General features: G+C 52.8%; 1 protein-coding gene across 1 annotated transcript in view, besides 5 other annotated features; it reads left to right on the top strand.

The window, feature by feature from the left end:
* ABTB2 (ankyrin repeat and BTB domain containing 2) overlaps positions 1 to 22,732 on the top strand; it is a 207,024-nt gene that overhangs the window by 173,437 nt on the left and 10,855 nt on the right. Inside the window, exons 4-10 of the mRNA NM_145804.3 lie at positions 11,267 to 11,419; positions 13,503 to 13,668; positions 16,582 to 16,671; positions 17,214 to 17,315; positions 19,218 to 19,314; positions 19,753 to 19,888; positions 21,769 to 21,998. Of these exons, the coding sequence (NP_665803.2) occupies positions 11,267 to 11,419; positions 13,503 to 13,668; positions 16,582 to 16,671; positions 17,214 to 17,315; positions 19,218 to 19,314; positions 19,753 to 19,888; positions 21,769 to 21,998 (974 nt within the window). The remainder of the gene's footprint in view (positions 1 to 11,266; positions 11,420 to 13,502; positions 13,669 to 16,581; positions 16,672 to 17,213; positions 17,316 to 19,217; positions 19,315 to 19,752; positions 19,889 to 21,768; positions 21,999 to 22,732) is intronic.
* Positions 607 to 1,106: an enhancer, noted in NCBI's record as "H3K4me1 hESC enhancer chr11:34205015-34205514 (GRCh37/hg19 assembly coordinates)". NCBI's record gives its function as "activates a minimal SCP1, AML or CMV promoter by ChIP-STARR-seq in naive H9 embryonic stem cells {active_cell/tissue: H9 hESC(naive)}" and the evidence as "EXISTENCE:reporter gene assay evidence [ECO:0000049][PMID:30033119]".
* Positions 1,107 to 1,608: an enhancer, noted in NCBI's record as "H3K4me1 hESC enhancer chr11:34204513-34205014 (GRCh37/hg19 assembly coordinates)". NCBI's record gives its function as "activates a minimal SCP1, AML or CMV promoter by ChIP-STARR-seq in naive H9 embryonic stem cells {active_cell/tissue: H9 hESC(naive)}" and the evidence as "EXISTENCE:reporter gene assay evidence [ECO:0000049][PMID:30033119]".
* Positions 3,663 to 3,862: an enhancer, noted in NCBI's record as "active region_4597". NCBI's record gives its function as "activates an Ori minimal core promoter by ATAC-STARR-seq in GM12878 lymphoblastoid cells {active_cell/tissue: GM12878}" and the evidence as "EXISTENCE:reporter gene assay evidence [ECO:0000049][PMID:35858748]".
* Positions 9,148 to 10,068: an enhancer, noted in NCBI's record as "H3K4me1 hESC enhancer chr11:34196053-34196973 (GRCh37/hg19 assembly coordinates)". NCBI's record gives its function as "activates a minimal SCP1, AML or CMV promoter by ChIP-STARR-seq in primed H9 embryonic stem cells {active_cell/tissue: H9 hESC(primed)}" and the evidence as "EXISTENCE:reporter gene assay evidence [ECO:0000049][PMID:30033119]".
* Positions 10,069 to 10,991: an enhancer, noted in NCBI's record as "H3K4me1 hESC enhancer chr11:34195130-34196052 (GRCh37/hg19 assembly coordinates)". NCBI's record gives its function as "activates a minimal SCP1, AML or CMV promoter by ChIP-STARR-seq in naive and primed H9 embryonic stem cells {active_cell/tissue: H9 hESC(naive and primed)}" and the evidence as "EXISTENCE:reporter gene assay evidence [ECO:0000049][PMID:30033119]".

The following is a 22,732-nucleotide window of genomic DNA, read 5'->3' as shown; positions in this document are numbered from 1 at the left end:
AGGAGGGGTGGAGGCCCATGCGCAGTCTCCACTGGAATCTGTACCATCTCACCCACACGAAATGCCGCCCTGGAACCAGGCCTGATTCCTAAGGACAGATGGCTGTGTACCCTCCACTGAGGCTCAGACACGGTAACATCTGCAGAACCACAGCCACCTTTTCCTATTCCTGGTGACAGCTCCATCCCTACATCCTAGCTGCCTTCCCAGAAGCTGCCTTCCCAGAAGCCACCTTGGCCCCGGGCTGCCGTGCTTCCCCTAGGAAGTTGTTGCATTTGGAACACTCTCCTGTGCAATAGCTGTCTTTTTACTGGGGAATTATTTCCTTTTTTTTCTGAAAAGAACTCTTTGCCAATACCCAAGCCAACTCAAGCTTCTAGGAATGAAAGACGAAGCAGCTCCCCCTTTCGTGAGAGTGCTCTGGAGCCCTTAATGAACAGTCCTGGAGGCCGGACGCAGCAGCTCAAGCCTGCGCAACATAGACCTGTCTCTACAAAAAAAAAAAAACACTTTTTAAAAATTAGCCAGGCCTGGTGGCTGAGATGGGAGGATCGCTTAAGCCCAGCAAGCAGGTTGAGGCTGCAGTGACCCTTGATTGCACCACTGCACTCCAGCCTGGGCAACAGAGGAAAACTCCCCGTTTTTTGTTTTTTGTTTGTTTTTGTTTTTGTTTTTAAAACAAAAACAAAGTCCTGGAGTAAGAGCAGCCCCTGAAACCATGGTAGCAGCTGGAGGACTTTGCCTCCAGGAGTGAGAAACATGCCTTGTGTTTATAAATTCAAAAATGAAGTTTCTAACACCGGCTTCTGTGCGGAGAGATGGGGAAACGTCAGTGAGCAAAAATGCCTCTGCCTTCAGAGAAGATATAGTCCAGAGGAGAGACCGTACAAAACCATACCAACCAAATCATTGCAAATTGGACGAGTGCTGTGCAGGCACTAAGGTAGGGCTGAGTGCTGGAGGGCAGAGGGAGGCCTGCTTCTGAGGGGGTGAGCAGGAGGACCTCCTCCTGCCTGCAGACAGCATGAGCCCGGCAGCAGGCCACCGTGGGCAGTCTCTCTAGCCGAGGGCAGTACGGTGACCATATGTTCTGGTGTGCCCAGCCCAGTTCTAGTTTACACCCGGTAGTCCCAGTGCTGGCGGTAGCTCTCTTTTTCCCTTTCAAAAGTCATCCAGCTGGGCACGGTGGCTCACGCCTGCCATCCCAGCACTTTGGGATGCCAAGGTAGGCAGTTGGCTTGAGTCCAGGGGTTCAAGACCAGCCCGGGCAACATGGTGAAACCTCGCCTTACAAAGAACACAAAACTTAGCCGAGTCTGGTGGCACACACCTGTAGTCCCAGCTACTTGGGAGGATGAGGCAGGAGAATCACATGAGCAGAGGAGGTTGAGGCTACAGTGAGATGTGATTGTGCCACTACACCTCCAGCCTGGGCGACAGAGCAAGACCCTGACTCAAAGGAAAAAAAAAGTCATCCAGTTTGCATGACAAATTGTGGTTACTGTGCCTAATATCATCATCCCTAAGATGGAGGAGTTGGGCCAGCACCAGGTGAAGAATCTGAGTGGCTGTGGAATGTCATCTTCAGAAGCTTAGACTCAGGGACACTGCCCAGGTTCATATCCCAGCTCTGCTCCTTGGCAGGTGCATGACATAGGGCAAGTGACCTCACCTCTCTGGCCCTCAGTTTCCCCATGTATAAAACGGAAATAATAATAGTACCTGCTACATCAGGCAGCTCTAAGAAGCAGATGAGCCACTAGATGTCCAGGGCACTGTGGCAGCTGCTTAGTAAACGCTCCAGAAATGTTAGCTGTTTGCATTTTTCTATTACTCCTGAAGGCCCTGATTGTCACACGGTGGACCTCCCATCTCACTGCTAACAGAAACTCTCAGGCTCCTATGGGGACCTGAAGGGTGACCCCTGGGGAGACACAAGGGAAATCACCCAGAGCTAGTCATGACTTGGTTGGCTCTAAATTTCTGTCCCTATGTGTATCTGGGCAAGCTTCATCTAGTGCCTCTAATCTGTACCAGATGAGTTTTAATAGGAAAAGTGAATTTCCCCCCCCCCCCAGAGAACCCAATGCCCCACCTCAAGCAGAAGTCACCTGGGCACAAGTGGAGATTCTGCTGTGGGCTCAGCTGCGGTTCAGAGGCAGCCTGGCTGCTGGAGGAGATGAGGCTGGGGGTCCGAAGAGGGAACCATGCCCAACTCTGCCTCCAAGCCATGCCAAACCATTCTGGTTTACCCAGCAGTTCTAGAAAAATAATGAGTACAAGATGTGAGCTGGACTAGAAATGTTTCTTTGGTGCAGAGTGAAATCTGACTTAGCGGGACAATGTTGGTTTTTTATCCTACGTGGATGTTTTGGCTTGGTATTAGGCCGTGGTGGCTGTGTGGAAATCTCAGGGAAGCTATGGTGAGGGCCTCATTGCTGGCCCTGCAGAGCCAGCCCTGACCTTCCCAAAGAAGTCTGTTCGTGGAGCCGTCACTTGCTTAGGAAAAGCTTGGCATCTTTGCAAGTTCCTGACGGTGCCACTTGGCACCCCCAGCCCAGACAAGACAGGGAGGAGCATGGGAGCAGTGTGTTTCACGGCATGATCCATGAGAAAGGGTGAGTCCAGGGGGATGTGACCCCATTCAACCCCAGTGCTTGGCTCTGACTCCCACTGAAGGTGGGGCAAAGTTAGTGGAAGAATTTAGGGCTGAAGGTAGGAACCACTGGGGCCATCCTCTCCCTTGATCGTCATCTCTTGCCTGTCCTTTCCTGGACTCCCAGGGTGCTTGCAGGTGGGGCAGGCCACAGCTTAGCGGGTGATGGGGAGCTCTCTTGGAAGCAAGCCTGTGGCACAGTGTACCTCCCAGCCCTGGGAGCCGGGCCTGCACCCCAGAACGTTGTATGCTCACACCCACCCTGTCTTCCCAGAGCTAAGCTTGGGCCTGGTCTCGAGGCCCTTCTTAGCTTGTGGGTGTGTCCAGGGTCTGCCTGAGTCTTTGTATTCAGCTCCTCCTGGGTGGATGGAGAAGGGCACAAACCGGCTGGCCTCATTTGCTTGGCCTGCCAGGATGGGAACAGAGACCCGAGGCTTGTGCTTGGGGCCCGGGTCATGTGGCCTCTGGTTACAGGCCTGTGCCCCATCTGCCAACCTGACTCACTCTGGGGTCCCTGCCTACCCCGGGGAAGAACAGAGCCTGCTTTGAGCTGGAAACTGGAGGGGTTTCCTGTTCCATGTTGTTAAGACACCACTTATAGGACTGTAATCCCAATAAATCATATGCTTTCTGAGTGCAACAGGGTTGTTTTTTTTGTTTGTTTGTTTGTTTGTTTGTTTTCCAGGCTGCAGGGGCCTCTTAAAACCAAGGCCTTGGCTGGGCATGGTGGCTCACGCCCATAAGCTCAGCACTTTGGGAGGCCGAGGCAGGCAGATCAGGAGGTCAAGAGATTGAGACAATCCTGGCCAACATGTTGAAACCCTGTCTCTACTAAAAATACAAAAATTTGCTGGTCATGGTGGTGCATGCCTATAGTCCCAGCTACTCAGGAGGCTGAGGCAGAAGAATCGCTTGCACCAGGGAGGCGGAGGTTGCAGTGAGCTGAGATCGTGCCACCTCACTCCGGCCTGGGTGACAGAGCAAGACTGTCTCAAAACAAAACAAAACAAACCAAGGCCTTAAGAAGCTTATACTCTTTCATTTTTTAAAGGGGGGAATAATAGCTTTCTCAGTCCTAGTTCCATTGAGGGGCCTTAGGAGACCCTTGGATTGAACAATCAGGCTCACCTGTATGATTAACTTAAAGGCAGATGAGAGAGACTGTTATGGCACCTGGGTCTAGCATCCCTATTGCAGCTGAATTGGCCGTGTAACCTTGAGCAAGGCGCTTAGCCTCTCTGGGTTTCCTTTTCCTCCTCTAGCAATGAGAGGAGGTGGTCAGGGATTTCCCATGCTTCTCATATAAAAAGACCCATTTCCATTGGTCTATTTCATGTGCTGCCCTTTATGTACACAAAGACAAATGCTACCAGAAAGCCACTGACCTTTTTAAGTGGCTTTGTCCATCTCTGGGATTTGTCTGCATGTATGCATATGACGGTATTTAGGTTAGGCCTTTGGGCTGTTTGCAGCATTTGAGGACAGATCAGGGGTTGCTGATCCCTTGAAGTAATTCTCTGCTCACCCACCCTCGCCACCACACACGTTCATGACCCAAGGCCTCTGGGTCTGTGTTCCTTGCTGTTGCCCCTTCCCTTGTGTGAGTTTTTTCACTGCCAAGGCCAAGAGGCTGCACTGCCAGAAACAGTTTCCAGCTCACACTCGACATAGTGGTTGCATTTGTTTTCTCTGTTTTATGAGCTGGGATGGAGTGGGTGGTGGGCAGCCTGCTGGCAGACTTTTGCAGGCTTTACATGTTTATACTTGCTGTGGGGGGAAGGCAAAGAGTTGGCTGGACTTTCAGAAAGCTGGAGCTGAGGCATTTAATAGAACCAGATTCCTATAGCCCTTTTTGCTATTATATATTTTCTCTGTCAACAGACACTAAACTAGTAATAATAGTTAACATTTATGGAGAAGTTACCATGTTCCAAATATGATGGTAAGTATTTTACATGCATGCTTCTAGCTGTTTTGTGAGGTGGTCCTATTATTTATAACCATTTTGCTGATGGAACAACTGAGACCGGGAGAGGTGAAGTAACTTGCATAGACCCACATAGCTGAACTCATTGGGAATACACTGGATTCCAACCCAGGCCATCTCCCTCAGGAGTCCGTGCTCTTGGTCACCATGCAGTAGGTACAGCTACTATCGTATGGAGTCTGTGAAATAAAAGCAAAAGGGCTCTCACAATGAAAGGAGTTAAAAACCACGAACTTTGGCAATTTCTTCTTTAATACAAAATATGGCCCACAGAGGATGACGATCTGCCCAAGGTTATAGAGCAAGTTCAGTTGTATAAAAGAAACTAGAACTTTCTCCCAGTGAGGATGCCACAGGGAAGGGGTCTAGGACCTTCGGATCCCTTTGCCAGGAGCATGCATGCAAGCCATACACCACTCTAGGATTCACCAGACCGTGTGCCACCAGGGGCGAAATGCCAGCTCTGTGCCAGCGCCGCCTGCCAGCCCCTACCAGCTTTGTCCTAGCCATCAGCTGTGGTCTTCCACAGCAACAGTCCTCAAAGTGTGGTCCAGGGACCCCTGAGGTCCCAGGGACTCTTGCCAGGAGTCCACAGGGCCAAAACTATTTTCATAACAAGAAGTTATTTGCCTTTTCATTCTTGTTCTCTCACAAGTATCCAGGAGACTTTTCTAGAAGCTGTGTGATATCATGATGTCATCACTCTGACGGCAAATGGGACATGAGCTTGTGCGTTCATGTGTTTAACATTTTCTCAGTTTTAATTTCTGATACAGCCAATATCCGTAGAATAACACACATAAACAAAAGCTCTTTGAGGTCCTCATTAATTTTTTTTTTTTTTTTTTTTGAGTTGGAGTTTCACTCTGTCACCCAGGCTGGAGTGCAGTGATGTGGTGTGATCTTGGCTCACTGCAACCTCCACCTTCTGGGCTCAAGCAATTCTCCTGCCTCAGCCTCCTGAGTAGCTTGGACTACAGGTGTGTGCCACCACACCCTGCTAATTTTTGTATTTTTAGTAGAGATGGGGTTTTGCCAAGTTGGTCAGGCTGGTCTCAAACTCCTGACTTCCAGTAATCCGCCCACCTCAGCCTTCCAAAGTGCTGGGATTACAAGTGTCAGCTGCCATGCCCGACCAATTTTTAAGAGTATATATAGAGTCCTGAGACCAGGGAAAAAATTGAGAACCACTATTCTGAGGTATCAGATCCAGCTAAGGAAAAATTCAGCAGGCAGAAAGGCTGAACAAAGGGAGCTTTTTCAGCCCCGACCCGGTCTCCTGGCTCTGGCCCTGCAGATATCTGCATTCGGGCACGGAACGACCAAGCTCAGCCTACGGGAAACGCAACAAGCGGGGAATGAGAACTTCTTTGGGATCTTGAGGATGGTGCACACATCAGTCATTCTCAGCCTTGCTCCTTCAGGCCCTCTCACCCTGGAGTTCTCACACAGCCACGCTGTTGCAGATGGGAGTTTTTAAAGGGGTTTTCCAGAATGGCCAGACATGCAGGTCCAGCTCATCTCAGCCTGCCCAGCAGACTCCATGGAATTATCAGGAAGGAAACAGTAGCCTGGAACCCACAGCCCATGGAAGGCATGTTCCTGAGAAAGTCCATGAATTACTTCTCTTTTTACCTTCCCACAGATCCCAGGCTGGGGAGGTGGGTGGACCAAGGAGTAAGGCCTGAAGGGATCAGTTTGGGGGCCTTGTTTGTACATGTGGGCACCAGCCCCTCCCCAGAGGCAGAGGGCTAATCTAGATTTCTGTATATTGAAAGAGGCAGAGGGCTAATCTAGATTTCTGTATATTGAAAGTATTAATCAGTTTTCATTCAGGAAGCAGCATTCTGGGTATTGTAAGCAGGAGATGATTTAATGCAGGGAGTTGGGGGTTCACAGAATCATTGGAGGAGCTCGTGGAGCAGGGTGTAGGCTGAGCATCCAGGAATGACGAACTCGCCCATTAGGGGAGCTGCTCCCTGAGACAGCGCCTGGAACTGTGAGTTTGAACAACACCTCTGGAGCTGCAGTTCAGGAGTAAAGCTGGAATCAAGAAGGCGTTGCAGCCAGGCACGGTGCCTCATGCCTGTAATCCCAGCATTTTGGGGGCCGAGGTTGGCAGATCGCTTGAGCTTAGGAGTCGAGACCAGCCTGGGCAACATGGTGAAACCCCATCTCTGCTAAAAATATAAAAAATTAGCCAGGCATGGTGGTGCATGTCTGTGGTGCCAGCAATTTGGGAGGCTGAGGTGGGAGGTTAAAAAAAAGAAAAAAAGACTTTGCTATTGCTTTTATCATTTCACCATCACTACCACTACTCTGAAGCCTCAGATAGGTGGAAACTGGACTGGAATGTTCTGTAGGAAAAAAAAACCCTCAGTTTTCATGACCTGGTTTGCTAGCAAAAACAGACAAAGGGAACACAAAGGTGGCCTCTGCCTCCCATTCACTTACCAAATTTCATGCAGCATATCTTAATGATAAAACCTAATTTCCAGAATCCCAGCTGCAAAGGAGACTGGGAAATGCAGTTTTCAATTTTCCACCTCACCAGCCAAGATGGTAAAGTGAGGGCTGAATGAGCCCAGTGTATACCCAGTGAGTCCAGTGTATACCCACCAGGACTATCAATACTGCATTTTCTCAAGTGTTGAGTTCTAAGGAGCATGAGGCAGGGGGATGAACCAAGATGCCACCTGATTAGACTTCATGATTTCCCGAATTCCCTCTTGGATTTCCCCTAGTGCAGCTAGGAGATGCCCTCTTAGAGTTTTAGTAGCCACACGTGGTGCTTTGTCTTGGCTGTTGGCCACAATAGGGAAGAATGGCTGGCAAATCCACGGATTATCTTTTTGTTTACACTTCAGTCTCCAATGCTGATGGTTGAAATAAAGGCTTTTCCTGCAATCAGAAGGACTGATATATAGAAGCATGTCTGTAAGCTTGCCTTCCAGCCCTGTAATATAAGAATTGTGAAATCTAAAAATATTTGGGGGGAATTGGGCATTTATGTTTAAGGGAACTCTTATAAACAGAGGGATAATTCATGAATAGATTGTTGTTTCTTCCTAGACTACACAAGATCCCCCCATAGAATCTCAGCTTCCTACTCTAATGAGTCAACACTAGGCTCTTGAAAATTATACACCATTCTTTTCTGGGCAGAAACATGACTTGGTCCATAACTGAAAACCTGGGTACACTATAGTAAGTTACTGATGTTCATCCATACTTTTTGTCACTCAGCAAAACTTTCTACTAATAATTTTGTTTGTTTGTTTGTTTTCTTGAGACACGGTCTCTCTTTGTCTCCCAGGCTGCAGGGGAGTGGTGCGATCATAGCTTACTGTAGCCTCCAGCTCTTGGGCTCAACCTGTCTTCCTGCCTCAGCCTCCCAAGTAGCTGGGACTACAGGCGTGTGCCAGCAGGCCTGGCTTCAGTGAACATTTATTGAGGACCTGCCATGTCAGGCCCCAGGCTGGTCATATTTCAGAGAATACAGAGATGAGGAAGTCATTGTTCCCGTGCTTAGAAGGAACAGTCTGGTTAGGAAGACAACATGCATTCATGGCTATTGCTGTAAAGGAAAGTTTTCAGTGATCTCAGAGCAGGAAGATATTTCTTTCTCTTTTTTTTTTTTTTTTTTTTTTTGAGACGGAGTCTCACTCTGTCACCCTGGCTGGAGTGCAGTGGCATGATCTCGGCTCATTGCGATCTCTGCCTCCCAGGTTTAAGCGATACTTATGCCTCAGCCTCCTGAGTAGCCGGAACTACAGGTGAGTACCACCACGCCCGGCTAACTTTTGTATTTTTAGTAGAGACGGGGTTTCACCATATTGGGCAGGCTGGTCTCGAACTCCTGACCTTGTGATCCACCTGCCTCAGCCTACCAAAGTGCTGGGATTACAGGCGTGAGCCACCGCACCCAGCCCCCCTTTTTTTTGGGGGGGTGGGGAGAGAGAATCTGGGAAGGCTTCTGAAGCAGGTGGCATTGGAATGGAGTCTTGAAGGATAAATAGGATCTAGACAAGCAGGGGTGAGAGCTGTTCGTTCTCATGCATAGATGGGAGCAGGCAGGGTGGGCCTGAGGTCCATGAGTGCTGGTGGTGTGTCCTGGTAACAGGGGTGAGTCACGGCAGGAGATAGGGTGAGGTGAGGTTCTGGGAGTCCTTGAGGGCCAGAGATAGTGAGGCTTTACTGGCCTGTGGCCCTCCCCTTCATACAGATTGGTATGCTCAGTGGACCAGTTAAGTGGTTCAAACCCAGGAATATTGGAAATGACAGAACCAGAACATCAGAATACCTTCCCAAAGGAAAGACCTTTAAGATCACTTCTGATTACAGAAAATCCCTAACTTATGATGGTGCAACTTACAATTTTTCAGCTTTACAGTGGTGTGAAAGCGATATGCATTTAGTAGAAACTACTTCGAGTACCCACACAACAATTCTGTTTCACTTTCATACAGTATTCAGTAAGTTACACTGATGTTCAACATTATTATAAAACAGGTTTTGGCTTATATAATCTTGCCTAACTGTAGGCTAATGTAGGTGTTCTGAGCATGTTTAAGGTAGGCTATTCAGTAGGTGAGGTGTATTCAATGCGTTTTCGCTTAGGATATTTTCAACTTACTATGGGTTTATTGGTATGTAACCCCATCCTAAGTCAAGGAGCATTTATATTTGTTTGCCACTTTTTAAAATAAAAGCATTCTTTGCCCTCAAGGAGAGAAGAAACTTTTAGAACTCTGGAGATGACCCGAGCTTTTGGAGACCTGAGATAGGGGTTCCGAGGGCAGCCCAGGCTGACTCCCTGGAGGTGGCTTACTTCCTAGCCAAGGAGAGAGAATGGACATCTTTTCCCTGGCGGGAGCACTTAGCTGCATGTCAAGGGGAGAGACCACAGTGACCGCACAGGCGGGACGCTCCAAGAGCCCCGAGGGAGTTGGGGTGGCTGGAGGCCTGGCCGCCTGCCCCTGGCTGCCTGCCCGCTCCCTGGCTTAATTTGTAAGGAAGGACAAGAGTGGCATCGGGAAGGGCTGGGAACAGGCAGGAGCCGGGAGGCTGACTTTTGGGCTGTCATCAGAGAGAACAGCATGAGTGAGGGACAGGGCTCCAGGGCTGCCTTGTTCCTGTGATGGAGCAGGGAAAGAGCTCCGTCCATTCTGGGCAGAGCAGGTGGGTGTCCCACGAAGTCATGAAGCCACAGGCTGCCATCCGGGCCCCTCGGTGGCGGGGAGGTCTGTTGGACGGCGAAGTGGTCTCCTGAGGGGGCTCCAACACGGAGCCTTGCCAGAGCTGGCAGAGGACAGAAACGCGTCCCCGCCCCCCAGCTGAATCTGAGCCGCTCGCCGAGGGCAGGGGCGGGCGCGGCCTGAGCCGCAGTCAGGGCCCAGCACAGGCTGTGCACATGGCGTCCCCTGGTGGCACAGAGCGGGCCTCATGAGCGGCGCCCCGGGAGTTTGCAGCTCTAAGCCTGCCGCCGCCTTTCCCTGCTTTTGTGGGCTCTTAGTGATACTCGGACCCGCTAGGACCATTCCTCCCTGTGGGACTTGAAGCCGCTACTCTTTTTCTTTCTTTTTTTTTTTTTTTTTTTTTTTTTTGAGACGGAGTCTCGCCCTGTCGCCCAGGCTGGAGGGCAGTGGCGCGATCTCAGCTCACTGCAAGCTCCGCCTCCCGGGTTCACGCCATTCTCCTGCCTCAGCCTCCAGAGTAGCTGGGACTACAGGCGCCCGCCACCAAGCCCGGCTTATTTTTTGTATTTTTTAACAGAGACTGTGTTAGCCGGGATGATCTCGATCTCCTGACCTCGTGATCCACCCACCTTGGCCGCCCAAAGTGCTGAGGTTACAGGCGTGAGCCACCGAGCCCGGCCGAGGCCACTACTCTTTTCTGAGCACCAAACTGGGGGCAACCTGGCCTGGCACACGAAGTGGTGTCAGCCCACCTCAGTCTAGGTGCCAGATGAGGAAGGAGTGGTCATTAATGTTGTACAACAGCCTAATATGCATCATCCCATTTGGCCTCATGACAGCCTCCATAAGGAGGTATCACACGTGTGCTACAGATGGAGAACCAGACTCGAGTGTGCTTGTCGGAGGGGATGGTGACCTGACCCTGCTGGTGGCAGCCCTGGGTTTGGACCTGGGTCTGTGAGACTCTTAGCTGTGCAGCCTCTCCCCTCTGCATAGAAGAACACTTGGCGACCCTGACTGAACTCTTTGGAGGGGGAAAGGTCCCCAATTCCACACACTGGGGAACTGCTCCTTCCCTGGGCCACCTGAGGGCCCTCAGGTTCTGCTAATGGCCCATGATGGAAATTCCTTCTGTGCATTGCAGGTAGTCGGGGTCTCTGTGAGCAGAAAGAGCAGGTCCCTTGCAAGGGGTGATCAGCCTTGGTTGCCACTTGTGAGCATGTGTGTGCTTAAGGGGTCCCCTGCTGCCCTTCAGGGAGCACTCTCTCTAGGCCTGACCCTCTGCTGCCCAGCAGGGAGCCCCCCACCCTAGGACTGACCCTCTCTCTGCTGCCCCACAAGAAGCACCCTCCCAGGCCTGACCCTCTCTCTGCTGCCCTGCAGGGACCCCACCCCAGGCCTGACCCTCTCTCTGCTGCCCCACAGGCCCTTCATGCTGCTGCCGCCCCTCATGGAGTGGATGCGCGTGGCCATCACCTACGCAGAGCACCGCCGCAGCCTCACCGTGGACAGCGGCGACATCCGGCAGGCAGCCCGGCTGCTGCTGCCTGGTCTGGACTGTGAACCTCGGCAGCTCAAGTATGAACCAGGGAGGAGGGAGGGCCCCGGCATCCATGACCTGCCCCCAGCGGCTCCCCTCTGCTCGCTTCTTCCCCAGATGGCTGGGCGGGGGTCAGAGAGCAGGGGCTGCAGCACATTTGAGCTGTTCTAAGGGTGTCCTCTGCAAAGGCCAAGCCTGAGTATGGGAACAGATCTATTGTAGACTTTGGCTGCTGTCTGGAAACGTCTCCTGCAGCTGCTGGTCTGCTACACAGAGGAGACACACATTGGGACTGGGGCAGGAGAGCCCACACATCTAACTCTTTGGGATACTTGGGGACTGAGGGGCAGAAGTGGGCCCGTTCTTTCCTCTGTTCCTGTAATTGACACCACATGGAGCCCTTCCTGGGTGCAGGTGCTGTGAGCCCTTCCTCTTTATGTGCATTATCTTAGTCCTCATGACAAGTGCAGGGAAGAGGCAATCATGCCCATCTTACAGATGAAGAAGCTGAGGGTCAGAGGGGAACAGTAGCTTGCCCACAGATACTCAGCTAGCACTTTACCGTGCCCAGATTTGAACCCAGGTCCATACGGCCTCCAAGCCTGTGCTCCTAATTTCCTTCCCTAAATGCCTCTCACAGTAGACTTGTTTGCTGAGGAGCTTTTCTAGAGAAGCGTCCCTGGCCATCCTAGGCCCATGAGAGCCTTTTATCTATCTATCTATCTATCTATCTATCTATCTATCTATCTATCTATATACACACACACACACACATATATATATATATATATATATATTTTTTTTTTTTTTTTTTTTTTTTTGAGACAGAGTTTCACTCTGTTGCCCAGGCTGGAGTGCAATGGTGTGATCTCGGCTCTCTGAAATCTCTGCCTCCTGGGTTCAAGCGATTCTCCTGCCTCAGCCTCCCAAGTAACTGGAATTACAGGCACGCACCACCACGTCTGGGTAGTTTTGTATTTTTAGTAGAGACTGGGTTTCATCATGTTGGTCAGGCTGGTCTCAAATTCCTGACCCCAGGTGATCCACCCACCTTGGCCTCCCAAAGTGCTGGGATTACAGGCGTGAGCCACTGCTCCTGGCCTTATATCTTTTTTTTAACCCTCTGCCAAAACCCAGGTTATGGCCTCCTCTGTCTTCATACGGAAGGCCCAAACCCCATTCTAGGACATGAATTTTCTACACTTTGGCCCAACCAAGGCTCCAGACCAAAGCTGCCAACTGGACGTCTGTGATGCGCCCCCTATAACACAGGCATTATCTGTGACTTTCCTTGTAGGTTGCGTTGATTGCAAATGGCAGTCTATGCTACTCTCTACCATCTCTTTGGTACTTCTGAGCCTCACCAGGAAGCCTTAAAGAGAGAGAATGTAGAGCTAAATACTAGAACCTGGCCATGGTGACCGTTTATAGGCTGAGTGCAGCCTGCTCAACACAAACAGTATACAGCCAAGTGCTGAGGCATGAGTCTGGGTGGGAGCTGCTTCCTGCTTGGGGCAGACCCATAACAGATTGTTTTACATGAGTCTTTGTTTTCTGCCAGTTGAAGCAACAAGGGCTCAGAACACTTACTTACTTACTTACTTATTGATTGATTGATTGAGACAGAGTCTTGCTCTATTGTCCAGGCTGGAGTACAGTGGCACAATCTCGGCTCACTGCAACCTCTGCCTCCAGGGTTCAATTTATTCTCCTGCCTCAGACTCCTGATTAGTAGGGATACAGGCACATGCTACCACGCCTGGCTAATTTTTGTATTTTGAGTAGAGACAGGGTTTCACCATGTTGGCCAGGCTGGTCTTGAACTCCTGACCTCAAGTGATTCACCTGCCTTGTCCTCCCAAAGTGCTGGGATTACAGGTGTGAGCCACTGAACCTACCTCCCAAGCAATTTTTTAATGTACTTATAGAAAAGCAGAAATGTGTGCTCTTCATATGACAGAACATGATGGGGACAGTAATTGCTGATCTGATCATAACTCCCTGGTGCTTCCCACCCATCCTCATCCTCACTCTACACGTAAAGCTCACACATGTGTGTCACATCATTGAAAGTTGCTGTCTGCATACAGTCACACGCACCTTTGGGTCTCTTCTGGGCAGACCCGAACACTGTTTCAGTTCCTTCCGGAGGCTGGATGCCCGAGCAGCTACTGAAAAATTCAACCAGGACCTGGGTTTCCGCATGCTCAACTGTGGGAGGACGGACCTCATCAACCAAGCCATCGAGGCCTTGGGTCCGGATGGGGTTAACACCATGGATGACCAGGTACGTCCTGAGAGCTCCACAAAGACAGGCACGAGGACCAGAGTTGGGAATTCTCAGCTCCCAGCATTGGCGGCCCTCTGTCCTAACCCTGAGATTTGCTCAGCTCTGTACTTCGAAAAGGCGGGCTACCTCCCTGAATCCTGCCCTGCCTGGTCATGTGGAATGTCAGCTTGGAGACTTCTAGTATCCCTTGGAAGAACTTTGTCATGTGGCTTCCGCTTCCCTGGCTGGACAGCTGGCCACTGTTTCAGGTGGTGCAAGGCTAGGAACGAGTCTGGGAGAGTGAGCTTCATCTCCAGCTAGGGACACGATCGCTAACCCTGTAGTACAGCCTATTGTGTGCCAACTACTTGCCAGGGCATGGAAACCCTTGTCCTCATGGAGATACCATTTTAGTGCAGGAGACAGATAAGAAGAAACACAGACATGTAAAATGTAGAGGATGTTAAAGTGCTGAGGACTAAAATGAAGCATGAAAATGGGTAGGAAATGTGGGAGGTGATGTAGTTTTAGATAGGCTTTAACTTGAGTTTCGCATCTGTTTTGTTTTTTACTTTTGCTGTGAACAGCTACCATTTATATAGCATTTACTATGTTCGATGCATTGTTCTAAGTGCTTCACATAGATTAACTCACTTCCTCTTGACAGCAGCCCTGTGATGTAGCACTATTATTTTCCCCATTGTATAGATGAGGAAATTGAGGGACAGAGAGGTTGCTTTACCTAAGGTCACACCACTAGTAAGGAGCAGAGCTGGGTGGAGAATCTGAGCAGCTGGACCCAGCCTCTCAACCACTATGGAATATCCTGTGTGTTTATTTGACACTGTACTGAGAGCACTTACAGTGTGCGGAAGGGCACTGTGGGGTTTGGAAGGCCACACAGAGCATGGGGAGTTAGATGACAGTGGCGAGTTAAGGCAGTGTTCTCAGATGAGGTGACGGCACAATGCAGCCTGTGATGAAACTCCAGGCAGACCGTGAGGCCAGGGTGGACCCTGACAGATGGGATGGGCTGCAAGGGGAAGCTTCCTGCTGGAAGCGGTTGAGCCGAGCCTGGGGGAGGGCAGGATGGGGACGGAGCAGAGAGGAGTCAGGAAGGGATTCCAGGGAAAGGGACATAAGGAGTGTGGGGTGGGGCAGTCAGGGCGTGGACCCAGGCCAGGGGTTGGGGAAGGACCACAGGCCCAGCACTGGACTTCCAGAGGGCAGTGGCAGGTGACAGGCTGCTGTGGGATCTCGTGGGGGCCTCTCCGTCCACACAGGTTCCCGGGCTTTGTGGGAGCTTTTGTCCCAGTGGAGTCTTCCTTCTTGAACAGCACAGTGTGGAAGCCCGTGGACTTTAGCTTCAGATAGACCTAGGATTTAGTGGCCATGTAAGAGCTGTAGCATCTTGAACAAGTTACTCTGCCTCCCTGAGGCACTTCAGTTTCCTCCCCTCTAAGATGGGGGATGGTAGCACCTGACACATAGGGTTGGGGGAAGTCTGCATCCAGCACATAGTCAGCACTCACTAAATGTTCATTCCGGTTTTTATTGCCAATATGATGATTATTGTAGTCGTATTGCTGTTGATATGATGATGATGCCTGATATCTGCGAGCCGGCCTGGTTTTATTTGGCCTCTTTATATGTCTGGAGTGCGTGGGGACAGGGACAAGGGAAAAAGCAGTGTCTCCTCACCGGGCCCGTCATTTGGTTTAAACTCCAAATTGTATACAGATGTGTGGAGAAAAAAGTAAGTCAAGTCTGTCCGCAGGGAGATGAAACAAAGCCAAATTTTTATTCTGTGGTGTTGGCCTTTGTCTAAGTGCTCAATCCTGTTTGTTCCCTAAACCTTAGTATTTATAGAATGATCTGTGGGTAAACAGCTCTCTCACCCCATGATTAATCTCAGGCCATTGCTTTATCTCTGGCCACTAGGCAAGGATTTATGAGGTAAGGAGATCTTGTCTACACACAAATATCCTAATAAATAACATCACGGGACACCAGGCAAACACTTGCTGGGATCCAGCCGTGGAATAAACAGTTTGCACTGCCTTTGCTGTTGCCGGCCACAGAGGAGGATTCCCAGCCAGGGAGGCGGCCCCGCCAACTGCCCACCTAACCCAGGGAGACAGCAGGACTCAGCTTGCAGGAATGCTCTGAACTGCTCAGTAGCAGAAGATGTTGAAGTCAAATGCCTCCTCTACCGTCTCGTGGGACGGCGCAAAGCTTGGGCTTCACAGCTTATGGAGGCCTGGTTCCTGCCCCGAGTTCAACCTCTCGCTAGTTGTGTGACTTTGGGCAGTCAGTTCCCCTTCTCTGCTCCTCAGCTGTAAAATGGGGAGGATGGGAATATTACGATGATGGAGGGAGATGCTGCATGCTCATCACTAGCAGGGTGATTTCCATGCACAGGGCCTGGGATGGCGGCTATGAGGCTGTATGGCATAGTAGCCATGAGAGTGTTGTTGGTATTTTAATTACATAGCTCTTAATCAAGGTAAGCTCATTCTGAACTAAGCACTTTATACATATTAATCCACACTCTACAACAACCCTTTGAGGGAGATAAGATACTGCTGTGGTTCCCCATTTACAGATGAAAAAACTGAGGCACAGAGAGGGCAAATGACATGTATAAAGTTTACAGCTCCCCATGGCAGAGGAGACCTTGGCACCGAGCCTGGCTGCACGGCCTGTGCTGGGCCCTGCTCCAGTGTCCTGCAGTGCTCATGGCAGTGCCCCCACTCACCTTCCCCATGCCCTGTGCCCAGCAGCCCAGGAAGCACAGAGCCTGGGGGACCACAGGATGCTCGGCTGGGGTGGCGGGGTGCCCGATCTGTGGTTTCTGGGGCAGAGGCCTGTGGGCACATGGTGTTGTGTTCTGTTTGCAAACAGTTTAGCACGTGCATTTGATTTGCTCAGGGTATGACGCCACTGATGTACGCCTGCGCTGCTGGGGACGAAGCGATGGTCCAGATGTTGATTGATGCTGGGGCAAACTTGGACATCCAGGTGAGGAAGCCCCACAGAGCTGCACCCAGGCCCTAGGCCAGCAGGGATCACTCCGAGGGCTCCAACAAACACGCTGGGCGTGATGTTTTGGGCAACTGAGTAGATGTGTGTCAAAAGACCGGAAAGACAAGATGCACAGAGGCCACTGTTAGCCAGGGAAGTCTCCTCAAGATTTGGGCTTTCTGTCTGAAAAGGAGTGGACTGAGGCGGGAGTGAGTGGAGAGATGGGCTGTGATTCTGTTTTCATGATATCTTCCTCCTTTTACCAGCCTAATCTCCAGCCATTCCTTCCATCCCCAAATACTTCTAGCTCTGCCTCCCTCTGAAGCATAAAGCACTCCCCATCTGCCCTCTTTTGCCCAGGGCAGACATTGCTAATTAAATACCTATCCTCTCTTTTTGAGCCTTGTCCACTTTGTGCTCCAGGCAAACATTATCAATCGAATGTAGAAAGCACTTGTTAACTCTGGTTCACCATCCCTGCAGGGTACTCCCTTCGCTCGGGTGCCCAGAAAACACAGATGATTTGTGGTATTTTCCAGGTTCCAAGCAACTCCCCCAGGCACCCTTCCATCCACCCCGACAGCCGGCACTGGACCTCACTGACATTCGCTGTGCTGCATGGACACATCTCTGTGGTCCAGGTGAGCTCCTGCCAGGTGAACACCATGCCCCCCAGCTTACCAGGTGACCTGGGCCCCAAGCACAGCCCCAGCCTCAGCTGAGTGGGCAGGTGCCCTGAATCAGAGATCCCAAAGGCACTGCTTGAGGCCAGCTCACCTGATCGATAGAGCAGCAGCCCACCTGAGTTGCCTCAAGGAAAGGGGTTAGTGCAAGGACAAATGGAATTTTAGGAAACAAGACCCAGGTCCAGGCAGCACTAGGGTCCTGTCATGCCCTCCCGGCATCTCTCTCTCTCTCGTGTCGGGCACACTGGGGGCTGTCCCAGTCCCACTCAGCTTTCTCGCCTACAGCCGCCTTTCCGACCCTTCCCTTTTCTCCTCCCTCGTGAATTCTACTACAGGGCCAACTCTATATCATGGGGTCTGTGCAATTCTGTCCCCTCCTTAGTTCCTGAGAGAGGTTTCGGATTGGCATGGCTCACCCGTCGAGCCAAGCCACAGGTTGCCCACCTCAGCTCAGGTAGCTGTGCTGGCGTGGGGACAGTGGTGGTTCTAGAAGCAGAAGCTGTGGGCAGAGCAGCTCCCCATGCCAGCAGGGGCTCCAGCCACGTGCACTTACTCCCAGGTCCTCAGATCGCTGGCATGCGCAGGGTTTCATGGCACCCCTTCCAGGGAGTTAGCGTGACACCCTCGCTCCCCACTAGGTTGCAAGACCTCTGAGGGCAGGGATTGTGTCTGGCTGATTCACAGCCCTAGCCTATCACAAGGACTCAGCGAGTGGCTGTTACCCACTGGCCACCACATCCTGCCGCCTTTGCCTTATAAGAACCGGAGCAAAATCCCAACCTCAGTTCAGACTGGGCCTGCAGGGCTGTGCCCTGAGCTTGCCTGGATCCGTGCCTAGTTTTGCCCCAGTGAGCAGGCCCCCGCCTCCACGGCCTTGGCACTGGTACAGGGAGTGACTGATTTCTGACTGCTGCATCTCCAGTGATGTCTGTCCTCCATGCCACAGTCCATGGGACTGAGAGGTCAGCCTGAACTCCACTCCTGGTATCCAGGGGAAGGGCGGTTGGGCTCCCCTAGACTGCCATGCATGCTTGGAGGAAGCTTTGGTCTTCAGGAGCCTGGGAGGGCTGGAAGGTTGCTCCCTCCAGAGCAGCTGGTCAGGGAAGGTGGAAAGGGAGCTGAAAGTCACCAGTTGGAGTAATGCAGGCCCCACCCCTGCCCCAAGGCAGAGCCAGGACCGGCTCATCTGGAACTGCCTGGTATCTGTTAACCCTGCCCCGTCTGTCCCCTGTCAAAGCCCGCCCTTGCTAGCATGGGGAGAGGCCCTCTGCTGTCCTAGACTGGGACTTCCTGCTTCAGCCCCACCACCTGCCTTCCTGGGGTACCTGCTGTACCTCTCCGACAAGAAGCCTAAGGGAAGCAAGCCCCTCTTCCCATTCTGTGAATGAGGAAGACTGAGGCTCTGGGAGTTGAAGTACCTGCTCGGGGTTACTCATTGGCCAGTGGCCAGCACTGACACCCTGCTCCTTCTGACTCCAACACGTGCTGCCACCCAGAGCCATGGTTTACCATAGATTGCGGGCAACATTTTCTGTGCTGCTCATCCACATGTGTTCTCAGAAAGGTGGCTGCAGTCAGTTCATGGGAAAGCATTTGAAAGACGGAAAAAGCTCAGAGGTCCTCACAGCTTAGGGGCTTGGTCTTGGACCACAATAATGGAGTTGAAGATTCTAGAAACTTTGAGCCCTGAGGATAACCTGGAGTTCTAAAGTTCCAGTTCCTCAGCTGCTGGGGTGAACTGTGTCTTGGTCACATGCCTGGAGAGAAGCAAAGGCCCTGTCCCCGAAAGCACCCTGGCCCTTCCCAGGTGCTCCCTGCCACGCTGAGCAGTGCCCTCCTCCTCTGTGCCCCTGGCAGTTGCTGCTGGATGCTGGTGCCCATGTCGAGGGCTCGGCAGTGAACGGCGGCGAGGACAGCTATGCGGAGACGCCCCTGCAGCTGGCCTCTGCGGCAGGTAGGCACCTGCTACCCGGAGGCTCTGTCTACCCTTCCCTGCAGTGCCCCCCAGCCTGGCCAGGCATGTAGCTGGACGTGCAGGGGTCTCTTTAGCACACACGGACCCCATGCAGGGGCCTTAAAACCCCTTCTCTGGACCACTGGGGGCTTCCCCTGGCCCCACCCATCAGTTTCTGTTGGGCTCAGCATCTGGCAGGACCCAGCAGGGCAGGGAGGCCCTTCCCTCTGGAGACCCAGGGAGGGGGAGCAGGGGCAGGGCACGGCCAGCCTTCTTCCTCTCCCTTCACTTCGTCCACCAAATGCAGATGAGTGTGGGGTTTACTGACTTATTCCAGCACTCAGAGCTGCGAGAATCCTGCTCTCCCTTCCCTTTCGCCTCAGCTGCCCTGGCGGCTACTGTCTCAGTGTCCTCCGTGCTGCCCACCTTCTCTTTCAGGGAACTATGAGCTGGTCAGTTTGTTGCTGAGCCGAGGCGCCGACCCCCTCCTCAGCATGCTGGAGGCCCACGGCATGGGCTCCTCCCTCCACGAGGACATGAACTGCTTCAGCCACTCAGCTGCCCACGGCCACAGGTACCTGCCCGGGATTCCCACCCTGTGTGACATGAGGGCACTGAACTAAGCTCACAGGAGCCTCAGTTTCCCCGATGGGAGCAAAAGAGCTAGGCCCGGAGACCTTTCCCAAAACAGGGGGCCTGTGTGCTAGTAAACCAGAAACATGGGGGAGTTTAGCCTGCACAGGGCCCAGAGATGGGGGAGGCCCCACAGCTGATTCCTGGCAGACCTGGGACTGGAGCCTGGGCCTCCCGACGCCCAGGGCAGACCGTCCCATTTCCCAGTGAGATGCCACTCTGCAGCTGCCAGAGCCCACTCAGGACCACATTGCTTCCCATGCCTGCTGGTGGTCCTCCAGTGCCCAAGTGGCCTTGGACGTCCAAATAGCATACGGCTCAGCTGTGCAGAGGCTTCTGGTGCAAAATTGCACCCTGCCCCAGGTGCAGATGGTAGAGCTTGCTTTGTGGGGACCAGGCCTGCCCAGGGGTGTGGCGGGACAGCAGCAGGCTGAAGTCAGGGACAGCACGGAGGGGCAAAGGGAGACCAGACAAGGGCTTATTACAGGGCAGAAACGGGGCTGGAAAAGCGGGGCTGGATAAGCAGGGCTGGCAGGCAGGACACTTACTTCCAGTTCCCCGACACCATTCTTGCCACCAGCCTCATGTTCTGGCTGGGGTCCCCTCCCCTAGAATGCTTTTCTCTCCAGCTGTCTCCAGCCCACCCCCACATTCACCCACCCCAGCCACCCTCACCCTCCAGGCGCCATCTTTCACATCACCACCTCTAGGCCGCTCCACCCCACCCAGTGCCTGCATCCCCCATGGAGGCCTCTTCACCCTGCGTGGAGACTGCCTGCCTGCTCATCTGCCTGTCACTCTGAGCACAGGACCCTTGGGACAGTCACCGTGGCTAGTTCACCTTCACATGCCAGCGCCTGGCCCAAACAAGGTGCTCTGTAAACTGCCTGAACTAGCAAGTCCACACGTGAGGAGGAGCCCTTGGGAGGGACCTTGGGTCCTTGGAAGGGCACCTCCAGGCCATGGGCTTGGCAGGTAGGAGGAGGATCTGCGGGGTAGCCGTGGAGCAGGTCAGCCCCCAGGAACCTTGCAGCACCACCCATGCTGCATCCATCCCAGAGCCCCAGGCCACAGGAGGTGACAGAATGAGCCTGGGTCTTGGAGCCAGAAGTCCTGGGTCTGTACCCCCACCTGGAGTGGCCTTGAGCAAGATGGATCCATCGCCTATGACGGTGATGTGTCTGGGCTCTCACGAGGCTAAAAGCAGCAGCACGGGGGAGCGTCCTCTGTGGGGTCTAACATTCTGTGTCTTCATTCATAAATATGAATACATTCTACATGACATCCGTCTTCAGTTCATCCTTATCAACATGAAGGGACCAAATGAGTACTTACTGGGCTCTTCCTGTGTTTTAGACACTTTCACGTGCATAGTCAGCTGCTATTTAGAAAGACCTGCTGTGTTTCAGGCTCTGCATTTAAACCCTTTACATCAGCCTCACATAAGCCCCAGGAAAGTGTGATATAGTGACACCCTGTAATATATCCCAAAGCAGTCAGGGCTCAGAGAGGTAGAGTGACCTGGCTAAGGTCACACAGCCAGGATGGCAGAGCTCGCTCAGCCCCGAAGCCTATGGCTTCTCTGCAATACGGGGATGGTAGAAGGGTGGGTTCCCCTGCACCCTGCCCTGCCTCTCAGAGGTATATGGGGATTGGTGACCCTGGGACCCCTGGCCTGCCTGGAGGAGGAAGACCATGAAACTCCGAGCCCTCGGGTACCCCAGAGCAGCCCGTCGGGGCAGGAGGGCACTGGGGGACAGCTCAGGTGGGCACTGCCTGTGGGACTTCAGCCCTCACCTTCATTCATCCCTGGGCCTGCAGGAACGTCCTGAGGAAGCTCCTGACGCAGCCACAGCAGGCTAAAGCGGACGTGCTGTCCCTGGAGGAGATCCTGGCCGAGGGTGTGGAGGAAAGTGATGCGTCGAGCCAGGGCAGTGGCAGCGAGGGGCCCGTGCGGCTGAGCCGGACCCGCACCAAGGCCCTACAGGAGGCCATGTACTACAGCGCTGAGCACGGCTACGTGGACATCACCATGGAGCTGAGGGCACTGGGTGAGGCCTCACGGGCATGCACACCCATGTCCATGCATGCATATGGACACACACGGTCACTCCCTGCTGCTCTTCAGCAGGCCTGAGAGGGCCAGGGCCTGCAGGGACAGACAAGCCCCAGGGCAGCTGAGCACAGACTGGGTGGAGGCTGGGACCCCCCTGCTACACGGCCAGTTCAGGAGGGGCCCTGGGCCTCAGACAGTGCTCAACAGTGCCACGTCTTGGGGTCATGGCCCAGTCCCCTGCCCTCGGGCCCTCCACCCTGCCTGGCTGGAGCTTCGCTGCCCCCTCCCCAGTCACAGCCCAGGGATGTCGAGCACTGGGAGCCTCTGAAGCCCCGGGACTCCACGCTGTGAGGCGGCAGTCCTGTCACTCGGCTGACCTTGCACTCCTTGGGTCTGCGAGTCTGTGGACTTTTGGTGTCCTCCAGGGAGGCTAGTCAGACAGACTTAGGTCAGGTCCTGTGTTAGCTGCATACCACGTCCTCTCTCCAAGCCTCAACTCCCACCTCTGTGGCTTTGGTGCTAATGATCCTTATCTAAGAATGAGGTGACATCACCTGAAGTACAAGGCGTAGTGGCCACCGTGAGCACTTGGTGGATGACAGCACCGTCACTGTCATCACAAGGCCACAAACCCCCAGGGCCGGGCCAAGACAGCAGTGAGTCAGCCTCAGTGTTCTTCACCGTAAAACAGAGACGTCACTCCCACCTGCAGTCAATAACCCAAGGATA

The sequence above is a fragment of the Homo sapiens genome, chromosome 11, assembly GCF_000001405.40.
Source record: "Homo sapiens chromosome 11, GRCh38.p14 Primary Assembly".
Classification (NCBI taxonomy): Eukaryota; Metazoa; Chordata; class Mammalia; order Primates; family Hominidae; genus Homo; species Homo sapiens.
The sequence above is the reverse complement of the archived record's forward strand: the minus strand, read 5'-3'. Positions and strand labels throughout refer to the sequence as shown.